At 40.1% G+C, this 20,934-nt stretch overlaps 1 protein-coding gene and 1 non-coding gene across 5 annotated transcripts in view, besides 2 other annotated features; both read right to left on the bottom strand.

Moving 5' to 3' along the window:
• The window catches only part of CCAR1 (cell division cycle and apoptosis regulator 1), a 71,139-nt gene that overhangs the window by 22,987 nt on the left and 27,218 nt on the right, over positions 1-20,934 (bottom strand). For 3 of the 4 annotated variants that reach the window (NM_001282959.2, NM_018237.4, NM_001282960.2), the window contains 9 exons: positions 20,126-20,255; positions 19,706-19,867; positions 15,314-15,539; positions 14,564-14,677; positions 13,855-14,021; positions 12,908-13,118; positions 12,014-12,097; positions 8,199-8,384; positions 3,312-3,503 (listed from right to left, as the gene is read on the bottom strand). In NM_001282959.2, coding sequence (NP_001269888.1) covers positions 3,312-3,503; positions 8,199-8,384; positions 12,014-12,097; positions 12,908-13,118; positions 13,855-14,021; positions 14,564-14,677; positions 15,314-15,539; positions 19,706-19,867; positions 20,126-20,255 — 1,472 coding nt within the window. The remainder of the gene's footprint in view (positions 1-3,311; positions 3,504-8,198; positions 8,385-12,013; positions 12,098-12,907; positions 13,119-13,854; positions 14,022-14,563; positions 14,678-15,313; positions 15,540-19,705; positions 19,868-20,125; positions 20,256-20,934) is intronic. The other variant, NR_104262.2, reaches the window with a different exon arrangement.
• Positions 1,232-1,401: an enhancer, noted in NCBI's record as "experimental_16874 CRE fragment used in MPRA reporter constructs". NCBI's record gives its function as "activates a minimal promoter by MPRAs in K562 erythroleukemia cells, with activity observed for the introgressed 10:70527832 variant allele {active_cell/tissue: K562}" and the evidence as "EXISTENCE:reporter gene assay evidence [ECO:0000049][PMID:34662402]".
• Positions 7,932-8,101: an enhancer, noted in NCBI's record as "experimental_16866 CRE fragment used in MPRA reporter constructs". NCBI's record gives its function as "activates a minimal promoter by MPRAs in K562 erythroleukemia cells, with activity observed for both the introgressed and non-introgressed 10:70521132 variant alleles {active_cell/tissue: K562}" and the evidence as "EXISTENCE:reporter gene assay evidence [ECO:0000049][PMID:34662402]".
• On the bottom strand, positions 14,153-14,219 carry SNORD98 (small nucleolar RNA, C/D box 98). The gene has a single exon (NR_003076.1). It is a non-coding gene; the product is annotated as a small nucleolar RNA, C/D box 98 (small nucleolar RNA).

The raw sequence follows: 20,934 nt of genomic DNA, 5'->3' as shown, positions 1-20,934 counted from the left end.
CCTCAGACTGCCGAAGTGCTGGGATTACAGGCGTGAGCCACTGCACCCAGCCTTATGTACCAATTTCTAAGGCTAAAGTCCATTGCTTTCAACAGACTCTTAAAAAGGGCTAAAACGGGCCACGCATGGTGGTTCGTGCCTGTAATCCCAGCACTTCAGGAGGCTGAGATGGGTGGATCACGAGGTCGGGACTTCGAGACCAGCCTGGTCAACATGGTGAAACTTGTCTTTACTAAAAATACAAAAATTAGCTGGGTGTGTAGGCACACGCCTGTAATCCCAGGGCTACTCGGGACGTCGAGGCAGGAGAATTGCTTCAATCTGGGACGTGGACGTTGCAGTGAGCCAAGATCATGCCATTACACTACAGCCTGGGCGACAGGGTGAGACTGTCTCAAAAAAAGGGTTAAAACTTGAAATGGTTGACCACAGCCCTTAAATGTGTCATCTTTGCAAATCTGATATATTTGCTAAAATATGTTAATCAGATCATTTTCTGATTATAAAGGATAATGCAATTTATTATAACTATAATTTATTTTAGCCTATTTTTCATTAGTTGCCCAATCTTTTTTATTTCAAATTGAGATGGGAGTCTCACTATGTTGGCCCAGGCTGGCCTCAGACTCCTGGGCTCACACAATCCTCCCACCTCAGCCCCTCAAAGTGCCGTAGGGACTGTGCCCAGCCTATGTATTTATTTATTAAGTGATTATTACAGGGATGGCACTATTAGGAATTACTTCAATTTATGGCAACTGCTTACTTTTTTTATTTTTTGAGACAAAGTCTCGCTCTGTTGCCCAGGCTGCAGTGCAGTGGCACAATCTTGGCTCACGACAACCTCTGCCCGCTGCGTTCAAGAGATCCTCCTGCCTCAGCGTCCTGAGTAGCTGGGATTACAGGCGCCTATCACCTAGCCTGGCTAATTTTTTGTATTTTTAGTAGAGATGGGGTTTCACGATGTTGGCCAGGCTGGTCTCAAACTCCTGACCTCAGGTGATCCACCTGCCTCAGCCTCCCAAAGTGCTGTGATTACAGGCATGAGCCACTGCACCCAGCCAGGCAACTGCTTAAAAAAAAAAAGATAACATCATATAGCATCTGATTTTAAGGACATCTGCTTATTGGAATAATTAACATTGGAAAAAAAAATCCCAACAACTTGGACATAATTTAATATTTATAACATGTTTTAAACACCAATAAGCATGGACTTTATGTTTCATAATTGCCTCAGTAATCCTCAAAGGTCTCTAGTCATCCTTGATTTTCATCTTACCAGTTGGTAAACAATGACCTTCTGGTTCAAAGAAGCATGATTGATTTTTCCAATATAATTTAGAAAATAAAAGAACATAAGATATGTTGATAAGATACAATAATTAAACACAGTAATAATTTTAGATATGATTTTGTACAGGACACTACAAAATTAATATGTTGGAAATTCTATTTTTAAGGAGTGAAGCAATTACACTTAAAGATAAAAGTTTTCAATTGTTTTGAAAACAAACATGTTGTAAAGTAAACTAAACTACATGATGTAAAGCTGCTCTAAATAATGATACAGGCTAGGTGAAATGGCTCATGCCTATAATCCCAGCACTTTGGGAAGCCAAGGAGAGTGGATCACCTGAGGTCAAGAGTTCAAGATCAGACTGGCCAACATGCAAAAATTAGCCGGGGCTGGCAGTGCGCAACTGTAATTCCGGCTACTTGGGAGGCTGAGGGAGGGGAACTGCTCAAACCTGGGAGGCGGAGGTTGCAGTGAGCCAACATCGAGCCACTGCACTCCAGCCTGGGTGACAGAGGGAGACTCTGTCTCAATAAATAAATAAATAGGCCGGGTGCAGTTGGCTCACGCCTGTAATCTCAGCAATTTGAGAAGCTGAGGCAGTTGGATCACTTGAGGTCAGGAGTTTGAGACCCTGTCCCTACTAAAAATACAAAAAATTAGCCAGGCATTGTGGCAGATGCCTGTAATCTCAGCTACCCGGGAGGCTGAGGCAGGAGAATCGCTTGAGCCTGGGAGGCAGAGGTTGCAGTGAGCTCAGATTGTGCCATCGTATTCCATTCTGGGCAACAAAGTGAGACTGTCTCAAAAATAAATAAATACATAAAATAATGATACAAAAAATAGATTAATAATGAAAAGTTAAACAATTATTTTCTCTTACAACTCAAACGCAAGTTAAATTTTTTATCTCTTTAAATGGTATTAAATGCTATTTTAATTCTAGAGAAAATAATAAAGCATTACCTCATCCCCAAAAGAGACAACTAGACATTATGGATATCCTGAAGAAAGAACATACCACACTACTTATGAAAGCGTCTTAGGGAAAAAACAGAACTGGACTTGATTAAAAATTTAGATCCAACAATCAATTTACATGAAATACAGAGGACAGAGGAACACATAAACCATACCACAGAAATGCAATCAGCAAAAGTGAGTCTGTAAGGAAAGTTAGAGGACAAATCATCTATTTTTTCCCAAGAAGTAGACTACAACAAAAAAACAACAGAAACTCAAAAAAACAAGCAATGAAAAGGCATTCAGGGCCAGACACGGTGGCTCAGGCCTGTAATCCCAGCACTTTGGGAGGCTGAGGCGGGCAGATCACCTGAGGTTGGAGTTCGAGACCAGCGTGACCAACATGGAGAAACCCCGTCTCTACTAAAAATACAAAATTAGCTGGGCATGGTGGCTCATGCCTGTAATCTCAGCTACTCGGGAGGCTGAGGCAGGAGAACTGCTTGAACCCGGGAGGCGGAGGTTGCAGTGAGCAGATATCATATCACTGCACTCCAGCCTGGACAATAAGAGTGAACTCCGTCTCAAAAAAGAAAGAATGAAAGAGGCATTCAAAGAGATTTCAGAGATACGGGCATGGTGGCTCACACCTGTAATCTCAACACTTTGGGAGGCTGAGGCGGGCAGATCACCTGAGGTCAGGAGTTCGAGACCAGGCTGGCCAACATGGTGAAACCCCGTCTCTACTAAAAATGCAAAAATTAGCTGGGTGTGGTGGCAGGTGCCTGTAATCCCAGCTACTCAGGAGGCTGAGGTAGGAGAATTGCTTGAACCCGGGAGACAGAGGTTGCAGTGAGCCACCATCATGCCAATGCACTCCAGCATGGGTAACAGAGTGAAACTCTGTCTCAAAAAAAAACAAAAACAAAACAAAACAAAAAAAACCACGAAAAGCGAAAAACAAAGAAAAAAGATTTCAGAGATAGAGATATATTAACTAGTCATAATGTGTGGACCTTATATGGATCTTATTTCAAACTTAAAACATTACCTCAAATGAATGTTCTTTATTATCCTCTAATCTGTAGTCCAATAGGACACTCAAAGACATGATGCTACAATCAAACTTGCCACTTTTTGCAGCCCAATTTGGATGTACAATGATGGCCGGTTCATCAGGCAAAATATATCTTCTTTCTCGACGCTGGCGTTCTATTTCCTCTTGACGTTTCCTTTCTTCTTCCTAAATATTTCAAATTTCAAGTCAAGGTTAAATCTGCAAGTAGGATGTATATACATGTGCAAGATGAATATATATTGAATATATATCTCATAAATAAAAGGAACAAAATTCCCATGACTCTTCATGGTACTTATACAAACCATAAGCGTTGAGAAGGGAGGAAAGCTCAAATTCACTAAGAGTAGTAAGCTTTGATGGCTCCTAACTCTCTTTTGGATTTCCCAGCATAAGAAACTGCCTTGTAAAGAGGGGGAAAAATTATCTATATTGAGATTATATAAATTAGAAAATTCTCGGAAAATAGTAGTGGTAGCATAGGTTTTAGATCTTCCTGAAACCTCACACTAAAAAGACAAAGCAATATAGATATAAAAATCAAAAACTGATAGCATTCATAACAAAACTAAGTGACAAGGTATCCCCACAAACCAATATACAAATGGGTGGGAAAAGGCCAAAAGACCCATGTGTTACTGATGAATGTGTCCAAAGAAAGCATAAGGAAGCAATGGGAGAACAAGAAAACCAAAAAACAGCCAGTAGGTATTTACTGGAAAGTGCAGCAGCTGAAACTAGGCAAAATTTCACCCCTTACAAGAGAGTGAGTGGAGAATTTATTTTAAGATCTGAAGAGGCCTAGGCCACTCTAGCCTTACAAACTTGCAAAGCTCATTTACCAGGGCCCTATACTGAGGAGAAACTGCTGGGACTAGGAGAGGGACAACAAAGACATAGGAGAACGCCCAGGTAAAAAGTGATGAAGGGCAAAAGGAACAGCAAACTTCAGAAAGCAAGCCAACATGTGTTTCTGACAAAACAAGAAAACAACAAAACGTAAGAGCAGAACTCTATGAATTTAGAAAAGCTATCTGAAAGAAACTACGTTTATAAAATTCGGACAATCTAAATTCACACAAAAATGATTCAAGTATTGAGGTCAAATCCCATACAAATTTAGTATGTTTTAAAAAAGAGAGTGAGAAGCAGCAGCAGAATTACATCCCTGTAGATGATGAAAGTGGGCCAGAAAGACACCACCACAAGGCAGATGAAAATTTTAAATTACTATTTTTAAAGTGTGCTAAAAGAAAATGTTACAAGAGACACAGGAATTCTGCATCATGATCTTAACATTCAAAATTCAGAAAGTGAGTATCTGATTGGTAGATAGATCATGTATCTGACCCTATCTGTAGCAATTCTTCAGCTTCTCTAATAGAAGTGGCCGTGGGAAAGGAGAATCAGGCCTGCTAAAAGCCAATCCAAAAAGAGACTGGATGGAAGATGGAAAAGATCTGCAACTTGGTAAGGGTTTGTGCATTTCAATACATGCAACTTTTTTTTTTTTGTTTTGAGACAGGGTCTCACTCTGTCACCCTGGCTAGAGAGTAGTGGTGTGATCATAGCTCACAAATAGCGTTGACCTCCTGGGTTCAAGCAATCCTCCCCAGTAGCTGAGACTACAGCCACATGTGACCATGCTCGGCTAAATTTTTTTTTTTTTTTGTAGAGATGGGGTCTCACGAAGTTGTCTCCATCTATCCTGAACAATTCAGTTCTAAAGCACTCTTTTCAAGGAAGGTTAATGTCTACACAGGAGACGGAGGCTGGCAGGGTGGTGGAGCCACAACTGCCCAGTGATGATGAGCTGCTTCATTACTAAATATTGAAACCCAGATGGAGCAAGGACAATAATCCATGCAGAGATAGCATAGGGTAGAGTCAGATCACTGGAAGAATTAGAGGCACCTGTGTAAATTCACAGCTTTCAATATGTGTAAGATATAGAAATAAATATAGATTTAAATATTTGTAAGTGTTAGCTATCTACTTATCTATATATCTATCTTCCATATCTCTGTTCACTGAAAGGGGTTGGGAGCAGCAACCTAATTGCAATGAGCATATCTTGGATTCTAAATACCATTCTTCACTAAAAAGGAACCAGGGCTTCCTGGGGAAATGACTGATTCCTGAACTAGGACAAGGATAGCACAAAATAAAACTGAAATGCTTTAAAATGCTAGTAAGTAAAGAAGTCCTCAAAAAGTGATGAAGGTATGTCAAAAGGGCACATAACTTGAAAGAACTCCCACCGTCCAACTCTGGGACAATTTCATCACGAAAATAACTCATTGAGGGCTGAGCACGGTGGCTCACACCTGTAATCCCAGCACTTTGGGAGGCCAAGGTGGGTAGATCACCTGAGATCAGGAGTTTGAGACCAGCCTGGCTAACATGGCGAAACCCCATCTCTACTAAAAATACAAAAATTAGCCAGGCATGGTGGCAGGCGCCTGTAATCCCAGCTACTCGGGAGGCTGAGGTACAAGAATCGCTTGAACCCAGGAGGCAGAAGTTGCACTGAGCCGAGATCGTGCCACTCCACTGCAGCCTGGGCAACAGAGAGAGACTCCGTCTCAAAAAATAAAAATAAGGCTGGGCGCAATGTAATACCAGCCTGTAATACCAGCACTTTGGGAGGCTGAGGCGGGTGGATCACGAGGTCAAGAGATTGAGACCATCCTGGCCAACATGACAAAACCCCGTCTCTACTAAAAATACAAAAATTAGCTGGGCATGGTGGTGCATGCCTGTAGTCCCAGCTCCTCAGGAGGCTGAGGCAGAAGAATAGCTTGAACCCAGGAGGCAGAGGCTGCAGTGAGCCGAGATCGCACCACTGCACTCCAACCTGGCAACAGGGCGAGACTCCGTCTCAAAATAAATAAATAAATAAACAAATAAAGTTAAAAAATAAAATACATTAAAAAAAAAGAAATCACAAGTCCATGCATCACCTAAGAACAAGGTAATTATCTTACACAATCACAAAACCATTATCACATTCAAGAAATTTAACACTGCTTTAATATTATCTAATGTCACATCCATATCCATAATAAAATTTCTCCAACTGTCCCAAAAATACTCTCTATGACTTTTATTTTTGCCTATCCAGGATCTAGTCAGGTTTCACTTAGTTCATTTGGTTGTTATGTCTCACTAGCCTCCTTTAATCTAAGAGATCCCTTTAACCACTTCTTTCTTTTATCTTTCATTATATGGACCATTTTTTGAAAAGCTTAGGAAAGCTTCGAGAATTTTTCACATTCTAAAAAAATTTAAAAAAAATAAAAAATTTAAAAAAGAAAATTTCACATTCTAGATTTATCTGTTTTCTCACAATCAGATTTAGAGCAAACATTTCTGGAAGTAATTCTTCATAAATAATGATGTGTACTTTACAATGTATAAGATTTAGAAACTGATTATGTGGCTTATCCAATTACTGGTGCTAAAACACACTTCTGATATCCCTATATTTCAAATTCAGAAAACAAGTAACAGGCTTATGCATCCGGGAGTTATTCTATTGGACATAAAACTGAAGCATAAAACAGCTTGAATAAATAGTCTGAGTCTCAAGGTTTGACTCAATCAAACATACTGTTTTAGAAGTAGACAGATTCTGGAATAAGCACTTCACTAGAACTCAATTTCTGAGCCATTTACCTAGAACTGTTTTTTTTTTGTTTGTTTTTTGTTTTGTTTTTTTTTTTAGACAGAGTCTCACTCTGTCGCCCAGGCTGGAGTGCAGTGGCGCAATCTGGGCTCACTGCAAGCTCCGCCTCCCGGGTTCAGGCCATTGTCCTGCCTCAGCCTCCCCAGTAGCTGGGACTACAGGCGCCTGCAACCACGCCCAGCTAATTTTTTGTAATTTTAGTAAAGACGGGGTTTTACCATGTTAGCCAGGACGGTCTCGATCTCCTGACCTCGTGATCCGCCCACCTCGGCCTCCCAAAGTGCTGGGATTACAGGCATGAGCCACCGCTCCCGGCCTTTTTACCTAGAACTGTTTTGTATCTTCATTGTGGTGTTGGTGGTGGTTATATAACTATATGCATTTGTAAAAACTCACAGAACTGTTCACAAAAAAGGTTGAATTTTATAATAAGTAAATTGCACCTTAATAAACGCATATGCATGGCCGGGCACAGTGGCTCACGCCTGTAACCTCAGCACTTTGAGAGGCTGAGGTAAGCGGATCACCTGAGGTCAGGAGTTCGAGACCAGCCTGACCAACATGGAAAAACACCTTCTCTACTAAAAACACAAAATTAGCCAGGCGTAGTGGTGCATGCCTGTAATCCCAGCTACTTGGGAGGCCAAGGCAGGAGAATTGCTTGAACCTGGGAGGTGGAGGTTGTGGTGAGCCAAGATCGTGCCATTGCACTCCCTCCTAGGCAACAAGAGCGAAACTCCATCTCAAAAAATAAATAAATAGCTGGGCACGGTGGCTCACGCCTGTAATCCCAGCACTTTGGGAGGCTGAGGCAGGCGAATCACAAGGTCAGGAGTTCGAGACTAGCCTGCCAACATGGTGAAACCCCGTCTCTACTAAAAATACAAAAAATTAGCCAGGCGTAGTGGCGGGCGCCTGTAATCTCAGCTACTCGGGAGGCTGAGGCAGGAGAATAGCTTGAACCTGGGATGCGGAGGTTGCAGTGAGCTGAGATCACTCCACTGCACTCCAGCCTGGGCAACAGAACGAGACTCAGTCTCAAATAAATAAATTAATTAATTAAATTAAATAAATAAAAGCTTACACACACATAATCTTAACTCACGTATTCCAAGAACACCCTATACATGAATATTAATACCATAGAGTATAATAATAGATTGAGTACATACCTCTTTATCGTCTTCAGATTTCCTATCATCATCCTCATCCTCTTCTTTTTCAGATTTCTCTAACTCCTTCTGTTCTTCTTTTTGTTCCTCTACTTTAAGCTGTTTTGTCAATCGGGCTATTAACTGGGATTTTAATCCTTTGGAACTAAGAGCTCGACTTTCTAATTCTTTTCGGAGGTCATTTACCTGAATATATGGAGCAGAAAAACACGGAAAAAAAAAAGGTGGCGGGGGGCGGGGGGCAGCGGATATTGAAATAGGAAACAAACTAGCTACAATTAACAATTATATTTTGTGTGTTTTTTTTTTTTTTGTTTTTTGTTTTTTTTGAAACAGAGCCAAACTCTGTCGCCCAGGCTGGAGTGCAGTGGCGTGATCTCGGCTTACCACAAGCTCTGCCTCCCAGGTTCAAGCAATTCTCCTGTCTCAGCCCCCCAAGTAGCTGGGATTACAGATGCGCACAATCACATCCAACTAATTTTTGTACTTGTAGAGACGGGGTTTCACCATGTTGGTCAGGCTGGTCTCGAACTCCAGACCTCGTGATCAGCCTGCCTTGGCCTCCCAAAGTGCTGGGATTACAGGCGTGAGCCACCACGCCCAGCCTTTCGTGTGACTTTTTAAAAATGTGGTGAAAAGAACATTTGTACAGCTCACAAAACACTTGTGAAAATGCAAAATGATAGAATATTTTTAGAAAATAAAACATTTTAACATGCATAAAAATTTTTTTAAATGTTCTTTGACCCAGAAGTTCTAATTTCTGGCTGTCTACCCTAAGGAAACATCCTAAATAGAAGGGGGAAAAAACCCCACAAAACTATAGATTTACTTATTTCCTCCCTCCAAAAAAGGGAAGAGTCTAAATGTCTCATAAATTAGCCAGGTGTGGTGGTGAATGCCTGTAGTCCTAACCACTTGGGAGGCTGAGATGGGAAGACTGCTTGAGCCCAGGAGTTTAAGGTTCCAGTGAACTATGCACTGCACTCCAGCCGCGGCGACAGAGACCTTGTCTCTAAAAGTTAAGTAAATAAACAAATGTCCAACAGAGGAGTAACACCAGCAGGGAATGGTGGCTCGTGCCTGTAATCCTAGCACCTTTGGAGTCCAAGGTGGAAGGATCGCTTGAGGCCAGGAGTTTAAAATCAGCATGGGGAACATAGCAAAACCCCATCTCTTTAGAAAAAAAAATTAGCCAGGCATGGTGGAACATGTCTTTAGCCCAAGCTACTTGAGAGGCTTAGGTCAGAGGACCACTTGAGCCTAGGAGTTTGAAGCTACAGTGAACTCTCATCACACCACTGCACTCTGTCCCTTTAAAAATAATAATAATACCACCTAAGAAATATCTGTATATCAATTTAATTGAATAGTATAAAATATTTAAAAATAATTACATGGATAAAATTAATGTTAACGCAACAGGATGAGTCATTTTTCTTTTTTTTTTGAGGCAGGGTCTTGCTCTGTCACCCAGGCTGGAGTGGCACAACCATGGCTCATGGCTCACAGCTCACGGCTCACCGCGGCAGCATTGACCTTCCAAGTTCAAGTGATCCTCCCACCTCAGGCTCCTGAGTAGCTAGGACTATAGGCATGCATCACCATGCTCAGCTAATTTTTTTTTTTTTGGTAGAGAGTCTCAGTATGTTGCCAGGGCTGATCTTGAACTACTGGGCTATAGCAATCTGCCCATCTGGGCCTCCAAAAGTGCTAGGATTACACGCATAAAGCATTGTGCCCAGCTGCAACCTTACACACACATATGTATTTATTTTTAGACAGGATTTCATTTTGTTGCCTAGGCTGGAGTACAGTGGCACAATGATAGTTCACTGCAGGCTCCAGCTTCCAGGCTCAAGCAATCCTCCCACCTCAGCTTCCCAAGTAGCTGGGACTACAGGCGTGTGCCACTATGCCCAAATAATTTTTTAAACTTTTTGTAGAGACAGGGCCTCACTATGTTGCAGAAGCTGATCTCAAACTCCTAGACTGAAGTAATCCTCCTGCTTCAGCCTCCAGAAGTGCTGGGATCACAGGCATGAGCTACCTTGCCTGGCTTATTACTTTATGGTTGTTGGTTGTTGTTTTTTCTATTCAGTATCCTTGGGTTGAAGTGATCGTAACTTTTATATACAATAAGCAATCAGCCAATCACAAAACTTGTACCCAGAAAAATACAAATGGAATAAAACACCTAACAATGTTATGAATGACAGCGGGCCAGGGGAGGAGGATCACATCTGTAATCCCAGCACTTTGGGAGGCTGAGGTGGGTGGATCAATTGAGGTCAGGAGTTCAGACCAGCCTGGCCAATATGGTGAAACCCCATCTCTACTAAACATACAAAAATTAGTCAGGCATGGTGGCACAGGCCTGTAGTCCCAGCTACTCGGGAGGCTGAGGCACGAGAATCTCTTGAACCCGGGAGGCATAGGTTAAGATCGTGCCACTGCACTCCAGTCTGGGCAACAAAGCAAGACTCTGTCTCAAAAAAAAAAATATATATATACACGTGTGTATATATACATATATATATATATACACGTGTGTATATATACATATATATATATATACACACACGTATATATATGTGTGTGTACATATATACAAACGTGTGTACATATATATATGTATACACTGTATACACACACACACACACACACACACACACACACACACACACACTGCCCAGGATGGTCTCAAACTCCTGGACTCAAGCGATCTGCCCATCTATGCCTCTCAAAGTGCTGCGACTACAGGAGTGAGCCACCGCTTCTGGCCTCTTCCCAGTTTAGATGTGTATCAATCTATGTTTTAATTTTAAATATATTTTAGGCTGGGCGCAGTAGCTCACGCCTGTAATCCTAACACTCTGGGAGGCGGGGGTGGATAGATCGCTTGAGGCCAGGAGTGTGAGACCGGCCTGACCAATATGGCAAAATCCCATCTCTACTAAAAATACAGAAATTAGCCTGGCATGGTTGTACGTGCCTGTAATCCAAGCTATTCGAGAGGCTGAGGCACAAGAATCATTTGAACCCAGGAGGCCAAAGCTGCAGTGAGCCAAGATCATTCCACTGCACTCCAGTCTGGGAAACACAGCAAGACTCTGTCTCAAAAAAATATTCTATTTTAAAAACCAAATTACGGCCAGGCACGGTGGCTCACACCTGTAATCCCAGCACTTTGGGATGCCAAGGCGGGTGAATCACGAGGTCAGGAGATTGAGACCATAATGGCTAACACGGTGAAACCCGATCTCTACTAAAAATACAAAACAATTAGCCGGGCGTGGTGGCAGGCGCCTATAGTCCCATCCCCTTGAAGTTACTTAGTGCAGAAATCCTACCTTCTTAGTTCTCAAAGTTACTATAGTTACACTATAGACCCTCATATATTATAGGCATTCAACAGATATTGGCTGTACTGATTTATAAAATTGCCTTTTAATTTATATGTATATAAATACAATTGGCCAGGCACGGCAGCTCATGCCTGTAATCCCAGCACTTTGGGAGACTGAGGCAGGTGGATCACCTGATGTCAGGAGTTCGAGACCAAACTGGCCAACATTCTGAAACCTTGTCTCTACTAAAACTAGAAAAATTAGCCAGGCGTGGTGGCAGGGTGCCTGTAATCCCAGCTACTCAGGAGGCTGAGGCAAGAGAATCTACTGAACCCAGGAGGCAGAGGCTGAAGTGAGCCGAGATCGCGCCACTACACTCCAGCCTGGGCGACAGAGCGAGACTCCATCTCAGAAAGAACTTTTTAATTGAAAAAAATAAATAAAATCCATCCTTATCAAAGTTACCTTCATTGTCTTTGGATCAAGTTTAGACCAATGGGTAGGTGTAGAAATTTCTTTAGCTTCACCATCATCCTTCTCTTCTTCATCCTGACATACAAAGTTAAGAATGTAATTACTATTATGAAACCTTAAAATAAAAATAATTTATTTTTAAAAGTCTGTTGCTGATCTGTGCAAGGTCACAAATGTTTCAGATTGTCTTCTCCTAAAGTTATTATTTAGGCAAGTCCACGTACATACATTCTACCACTTTTAACTGATCACAAAGACACTCATCAGCCAATCAAAGCCAGATCTGTGAAACACAAAAGGGTGATAAATTACAACACAAAGGATATCAGGGATGCACAAACACTGCCGGTCTCCACAAACCACACAGTGTGTGATCTTGCCTCAATTTTCAAGCCACCCAAAGACTGATTTAGTCAGACCTTTGAAATGTACCAAAGACGTTGCCACATAGCCTGAAATTTCAAATCTCTCAGACTTGTGGTTGTCCAATTTCAAATATCCATGACTAGAACTGATGACCATGAAAAAGAAAATTTTTTAAATTTTAGAAAATGGCAAAATGTTTAAAATGGCTTAATACTGAATCTTGTTCAACAACTGGTCCCAGATTCCAGCAACTAGACCTATGATAAAAACAAAATTCTGTGCAATTTAAGCACAACTTATTTTCCTTTGAGGTCTCAGCACTCTTAAAGTTAGGATAATAAGACAGAAATTTTAAGAGAAAAGAACATACAACTATACTGCTGAAAGCTGGATTACCAGTCGCTGTTACCAGTTATGTTCCTCCATGTGTGTTTATTATGTAGTGTGTGGTGTGCATTTGTGCCTGTGTTCCTGTGCCTGTGAGAAGCGGAAATAGAAAAAGGGATTAGCGTTCAGTGCCTGTTCTCCATCAGCCTCCTTGCGTTCACCCTGAAGCTTCTCGACCAGCTGCTGCTTGTATCCTCGGGAGAGGGTTTCCCACTCTGAGCGGGTGGGAAGGCAATGCCAAACATCCGGGAAAAATAAAACCACTGTCTCCACATGAGCTGGAACTGTACGCCCCTTGTGGGTCTCCTCAGGGCGATGGTAGCGAATCTCTGCAAAACGGTACCTGTTGCAAGGGAAGAAGCATGTTGGAAAAAAAATTCTAAAATACATTTTAAAGACCCTAGTTCACTTGTAGCACATCAAGTAAAGAAATTTTGCTGCAAGAACTTGAGGTTGGTCTAAAGAAAAAAAAATTATAGAAGCCATAGTTCCTCTTTTGGTACATTTGTACAATATTTAATAAGTTAAAGGAAGAATATGTTCCCCCAAGGCATTTTCAAGTTTGATTACAGAGCTACCCGCATTTTAGAGAATACCTGAAGAAGCTGGATAGCTGTTCAGATTTCATGTGCTAAAAAAGAATATTCTCAAATTAAGTCACAAGAGATACACTAAAATACACAGGACAAATAAGCCTCAAGAGAAAATATGGCTGAACAAAAATAATCGCAACTACATCATTTTATAACAAAAGAATTATAATGAAATGAAGTTCTCTCTTGACGATCTTCTCCAGCTATGCATGAAATGAAAAGTATTTTCAACATACATCCAACTTCCAAAGTACAACATAACAAAACATTTAAATTTTCAGTTTATTTTGATTAGTTCTTAATCCCTTTTCCCCCAAAACATTTTGGCACCAAATAAACTTTAGCTACAAATGGGGATTTTCCTTTGAGATTACCTGCATTGACCAGGGTTGCTAAAATAAGCCGGGGGGAAAAGGCTGATCGATAAGAACAACTACATAAACTATCAGTAAAACACTTCTAATCAAGAAATGAATTAGTACTTACCATTGTGTGCACACACTTAGATCAATGCCTGTCAGAGCCTTACAACAACGAATAGCAGTCTTAATCAACACAGAGGGATCTTTTTCTGGGTCTGGTCCATCCAACGAAGGAGACCAGTGGCCTCCAATGGCCATAGCTTCATCCTTGCCTTTCATGCCCACTAAAAACTAATTCAAAACAAAGAATCATTTACATATATTACGCACCCTGTCAAATTACCAATAAGATACTTGAGAAGGAAAGGTACAAACCTTTCCAATATCATTTTTACTACCTCTGGTATCTGTCAGTCAAGGAAGAGTTCAGTTCATTGTGTTCCACACTGCATTTCAGCAATGGAATAGGATTTACACACATCATAACTCATCCTTTTAAAATATTTCTTCAGATAGAGTTCTTTTAAAGAAACAAGCTATAATTCAAACTTCAACAACATCCAAAGACACTCTGAATCCTATTACCACTAATATTCTACTATGTTACAAATATAAAACATCAAAATGACTGTTGAACTAGTAGCGTACAAATAAGATATAGTTGTAATCTGCAATGAGAAAAACATCTACATCATTAAATTCTGGGTGCCTTAATACTAAAATTACTCATTAATCAACAAATATTAAAATGTAGGGCTTTAGATTTTATGTGTACAAAGTTACAGCTAAGCAAAGTGAATACATCTAAAGTTAAAACAAATGTGTCCTTTTACCTTAACAAGTCTAGCAGGATGTTGGAATCCATCTCGAAGTTCTTGTGGGTCCTCAGCAAGAGCACATGACTTATGATATAAATCTTCCATACTAGGGCTAGCCATCAGCATTACCTATTATAGTCAAATAATTCAATCCTGTCAAAAGTCTAAAGTAATGTGAAAAAATGAGAAGCACTACTAATTATCTTTAAATATAAGATGTCTGAAATTTAAATAAAAATAGGAAGTAATACTATAGCAGAAACAGTATTAGATACCTCAGCCTCCCAAAGTGCTGGGATTACAGGCGTGAGCCACCACGCCAGGCCTAGATACCTTATAATTACTTAGTTTTAACTTTTGAAGGGATGCTTTTTCAGTCACACAATGCTTTAAACAAAACTATAGACTATACACAATATACTGAATGTTTCCCTTAAGATTGACATTTAGTGCATTCATCTAACATTAAGTTTTATCTGAGGCTACCAGAAGTCATACAACATTCCAAATATCTCATTAATATCAACTTTATCTTCACATTTTTAATAAGGTTTAAAATGTTAGAATAACTAGTTTTACAGCTCAAGAGATGAGGCAAAGAGAGCTTAAATTAAATTATGTAACCAAAATAGGATCAAGCAGTTAAGAAGAAAACAGGTATTCGGGTCTACCTAACAAACACTTTCTGAAGGATAATTCTACATACCCTTTTATTATGAATAACTGCTAAGAAATTTAAGCTGCATATCACAGCTGAATACAAACCTTTGCACTGTATAAGTGGTCAGCATCTGGTGGATCAAGAATGGCCATATTTTTTTCTAAGGACTCTACTTCTCTGTGCATTACATAAAAATTGCAGTAATTTCCCAGCTGAAATGGTCTTGACAAAGGGAAAGCATCCACCCATGTAAATTGAGCATCAAAAAAGTCACTAGGTATATACAAATTTTGATAACGGCGCCTTAGTTCCATCATGTCACAACTGGGACTGAAAAACAGACATAAGTAGTGAATAAATAGCCTTAATAAAAAAGGTTACACAAACATTTAATTCTGTAGCAAATATAACTGGATATAGTAAAAAGTAAGCTGAAAAAAGACAAAGTCAGTTACTAATGAGCTATAGATTTGCATAGAGACATATGAAAATATTACGTTCAAATTTATATACGCAAAGCTTTGAATAAATAGTATTCTCAGTGTTATCCTTATTTTGATACTTTTTGTTACAGAAGACGCTTTGAAATAACTTGAATCTCAGCTCCAGAAAAGATCTGTACAAAAGCAGGTTTTCCTCAGTTGGAACTGTGGATTACTTGAAAATTATGGTTCATGTTGAATAGATACAAAACAGCAATGAGAGTATTAGTATTTCTGTACGCCCCTCAATCAGGTTTTTGAGTGTAGAAAAATTATAACTTTTATTTTACTATAGTAAGTTCCTAGATCAAGCATACTTACATTCAAAATTAAATACAAAAATCCACAAAAAGCAAAATTCATATGTTCCTTGGATTATCTGCACCTCCACAACCCTTTCTCTGTGAATGATTAAGATCCATACCTGATTATTATGTATAGAGGGGATAAATTTCTTGCCTTTTAAATCTCACACTGATTTTTTAAAGGATCATTTCCTTTTTCCTAAGAAGTAGAGCTTTTAAAAGAGAGGAACTGAAAGGTCAATCTGGCAAAAGGCTAAGAGATGTCTGTTAAAAGTATAATGTAAGATGAAAAGACAACTAAAAGCAGAAGTATGAAAGATGAAGTAATCTACATGCAGAGATGTCTTTATTTGAAGTATAAAAATAAATACAGAGTAATAAACCTGTCAGTTAACAGACTATTACCTGCCTACCTATTCATCTATTTATCTATCTATTCTATCTACAGACAGAATCTATCTATCTATCTATCTATCTATCTATCTATCTATCTATCTATCTATCTATCTATTCTATCCTATCTACAGGCAGAATCTTGCTCTGTCGCCCAGGCCAGAGTGCAGTGTGGCATACTCACAGCTTGCTATAACCTGAATTCCTAGGCTCAAGCAATCCTTCCATGTCAGCTTCTAAGTATTATAGCTAGGACTACGGGTGCACTACCACATGTGGCTAACTTCTACTTTTTGTAGAGGTGAGGTCTCACTATATGCCTAGGCTGGTCTCAAACTCCTGGCCTCAAGTGATCCTTCCACCTCAGCCTCCTAAAGTGCTGGATTACAGGCATGAGCCACCAGTGCCAGGCCTATAATTATACTTTATTTGGATATGATTCTGCTGTCAAAATAATAAAAACATGAAACAAGTATCTGAGTTTTGTTTTTAAGGAAGTGTTACAAAAAGCAAGTATGTATAATTGTTTCCCAATTCCGTATCACCAGAATTTATGAAGTCATGTTTTACCCCACAGGAGTAAAATTTATAATAAAACAAAAGATATAAGTACAAATAAATCATTTCATGGGCACGAAGTTTCTTATAATCATATTAGTATAAGAAAATCTTGATTTACACAACTACAAATGAGAAGTATGGAAACTTTAAAATCATTTTTACTTGCAAGAGATCCATTTAATGTTCTCGGAATTTACTTCAAAGTGGTAAAACTAAACTGTGAGGCCGGGTGCGGTGGCTCACGCCTGTAGTCCCAGCACTTTGGGAGGCCGAGGTGGGCGGATCATGAGGTCAGGAGATGGAGACCATCCTGGCTAACACGGCGAAACCCTGTCTCTACTAAAAATACAAAAAAAATTAGCTGGGCGTGGTAGCGGGCGCCTGTAGTCCCAGCTACTCGGGAGGCTGAGGCAGGAGAATGGCGTGAACCCGGGAGGCAAAGCTTGCAGTGGGCCGAGATTGAGCCACTGCACTCCAGCCTGGGCGACAGAGCAAGACTCCATCTCAAAAAAAAAAAAAACAAAAACAAAAAACTAAACTGTGAAGGTGTAATTTATTATTATTAGTTTTTTATTTTTTGAGACAGTCTCCCTCTGTCTCCCAGGCTGGAGTGCAGTGGTGCAATCTCGGCACACTGCAATCTCTGCCTCCCGGGTTCAAGCGATTCTCCTGCCTCAGCCTCCCAAGAAACTGGGATTACAGGCGCACACTACCACGCCCAGCTAATTTTTTTATTTTTTAGTAGAGATGGAGTTTCACCATGTTGGCCAGGCTGGCCTTGAACTCCTGACCTCAAGTGATCTGTCCGCCTCAGCCTCCTGAAGTGCTGGGATTACAGGCGTCAGCCACTGCACCTGGCCCCTGAAGGTCTAATTGAGAAGAAGCTAAATAGCTGTTCAATTTCATATCCTATGCATCAACTCTTCCCAAAAGAGCATTCAATATTGAGAACAGATGGGTTAAAATCAGAGCTCCTCTATTTAATATCTTTGAGGCTGGGAAAAGTGGTTTTGGTTTCGACTGGTTTCTCGGAAATATGCAGACTACAGATTTTTAAGTATAAGAGTAAGCAGCTATAAGAAGAAAACTAGTGTAAAGTTAAGAGTAGTTGCTGGGCCAGGCATGGTGGCTCACACCTGTAATCCCAGCACTTTGGGAGGCTGAGGCGACTGGATCACCTGAGGTAAGGAGTTTGAGATTAGCCTGGCCAACATGGTGAAACCCTGTTTCTACTAAAAATACAAAATTAGCCAGGTGTGGTGGCGCATTCCTGTAATCCCAGCTACTCGGGAGGCTGAGGGAGGAGAATTGCTTGAACCTGGGAGGCAGAGGTTGCAGGGAGCCAAGATCGCGCCATTGCTCTCCAGCCTGGGGAACAAGAGCGAAACTCCATCTCAAAAAAAAAAACAAAAACAAAAAAAAAAGTAGGTGCTGATTTGACCATAAGTAAGAGTAAATGAACGCCAACTATGTAACATAATTAAGCAAAGTCACCAAGCAAAATTTTCTTGGCATTAAGTAGCTTGACTAAAATTCACTGGGTTACTAAATCTAGAACTGAATATCTGGAAATTTTGACCTCTGATAGGCAAGTATTATGAACGGTAATTATCACTCTGTTTAAACATAATAATATCCTCTTAGGCCACTGCATTGCATATAGCTATTTGCTTTTAGGCTAAACAGCCCTGAACACTGCTTTTAATGATTTTCTTATTTTACTGTCAATTTGTTATTTTTCCATCTATTAATCTATTACCTAAGTTGCGACCATAACCCACCATTAATTACTGAGACTATACAACTGCCACACACTGGGTTAAGTCCTTTGGATACATGAACTAAACCTCACAATAATTTTGCTAGTTAATATTACCTTTGTTTTGCAGGTGAACCTCAGAAATTCCTGGCAACTTGGCCAGGAGCAGTAGCTCACACCTGTAATCCCAGCACTTTGGGAGGGCCAGGCAGGTGGATCACTTGAGGTTAGGAGTTCGAAACAAACCTGGCCAACAACATGGTGAAACCCCGTCCCTACTAAAAATACAAAAATTAGCTGGGTGTGGTGCTGAGCACCTGTAATCCCAGCTACTAGGGAGGCTGAGGCAGGAGAATAGCTTGAACCCAGGAGGCAGAGGCAGAGGCTGCAGTGAGCTAAGATCATGCCACTGCACTCCAACCTGGGTGAAAGAGTAAGACCCTATCTCAAAAAAAAAAAAAAAAAAAGAAAAAAGAAAAAAGAAATTTCTGGTAATTTGTCATGGCTTCTGATTCAAAGGGTGAATAATATATTTATGTATATACATACACATACACTATACATGTGAATACATTATGTATGTGAGTATATACGCATATCAATGTTTCTATTATACTACACTGCCAGGGCTAAACTTGAAATTAATCAGTTTACTACTCTATTATTGCTTTATCATACACAATGGACTATACATGATCTTCAAGTTATCAGTAAGTCTAGATCTTAACTGATTCTAACTTTAGGGGAATAACGTTATGACAGAGGAATTTCCTTGAGGGGCTGCCTTTTTCAATACCAGTCGATATCCTTCATGGGGGTATAAAAATAATGCAGCATTGTAGATAATTAAGTTATTTCAAATTGCATTTCTGCCCTTATATGAAGAACACTAACTGTCGGGAAATCAATCTTGCAAGAAAAATACCTCTGTGACATATTCTATCAAATTATATGAAATTAGTAACTCAAGAAAACAATGGGTGGGGAATAACCTACCAATCTAAAGAAAACTTTGAAAACTGAACTGTGTAACGTGGAACAACACGTCGAACTCTCCGAGGTGATCGCTCTCGCTCTCTTCGTGGAGATCTTTCCCGGGAACGTTTCCTCTGAGGTGATCTTTCTCTCGATCTACGTCTTTCTCTCTCTCTCTCACGACTGAAAGCAAATTTTTCTAAAATTACTAATATTTCTAATATTATGGAAAAGCTCTTCAATGAAGTAAATAGAGTAGGTAATATAAGCAAGAATCCACAGTATATTTGTTTAACTTTTTAAAAATTGTAGTAAAATAGACATAACATAAAATTTACCATTTTAAAATTTTATATTATAAGCATAGTTCAGTGGCATTAACTATGTTTCCATTGTTGTACAACCATTGCCACCATCCACAGTACACTTTAGAAAATATACCTTCGATCATCTTTTCTGTTAGGCACTTGATCCCCTCTGTCATTTCTTCCTGAAAATCGGGATGGGGGATCTAATCGTCGTGCCGGTTGTGGCTGTGAAACTATACGAACAGGAGGCTGCAATAAACCAGCTTTAAAAGATAAAAGAAAAAAACGTTTAGCGTGTCTAAACAAAGTTCGAAGGCATTACCTGATAAAATTAGAGGAACAAAGTTAAATAACTGAGAGTGACTAAAATTGTTTTTTCAAAGTTGGCCTAATTTATATATATTTTTAAAGAATAGGTACTGGCCGGCTGCGGTGGCTCACACCAGTAATCTCGGCACTTTGGGAGGCCGAAATAGGCAGATTACTTGAGTCCAGGAGTTCAACACCAGCTCTGGCAACATGGCAAAACCCTATCTCTAAAAAAAGGTGCAAAAATTAGAGGGGGGCTGAGAAGGGAGGATTCCTTAAGGCCAGGAGGTCGAGGCTGCAGTGAGCTGAGATCATACCACTGCACCTATGCCTCAGTGACAGACCAATACCTTGTCTCCAAAAAAAGAAAGAAAAAAAGAAAATGCAGCCTGGGCATCATGGTGAAACCCTGTCTCTACAAAAGATACAAAAATTAGGCTGGCGGGGTGGCGCGCACCTGTAGTCCCAGCTACTCAGGGGAGCTGAGGCAGTAGGATCACTTGAGCCGGGGAGGCGGAGGTTGCAGTGAGCCAAGATTACACCACTGCACTCTAGCCTTGGCGATAGAGAGAAACCCTGCCTCAAAAAAAAAAAAAAAAAAAAAGAACATGTCACAATTACATTTTTTAATGC

Source organism: Homo sapiens, chromosome 10, assembly GCF_000001405.40.
Source record: "Homo sapiens chromosome 10, GRCh38.p14 Primary Assembly".
In the NCBI taxonomy this organism is placed as follows: domain Eukaryota; kingdom Metazoa; phylum Chordata; class Mammalia; order Primates; family Hominidae; genus Homo; species Homo sapiens.
The sequence above is the reverse complement of the archived record's forward strand: the minus strand, read 5'-3'. Positions and strand labels throughout refer to the sequence as shown.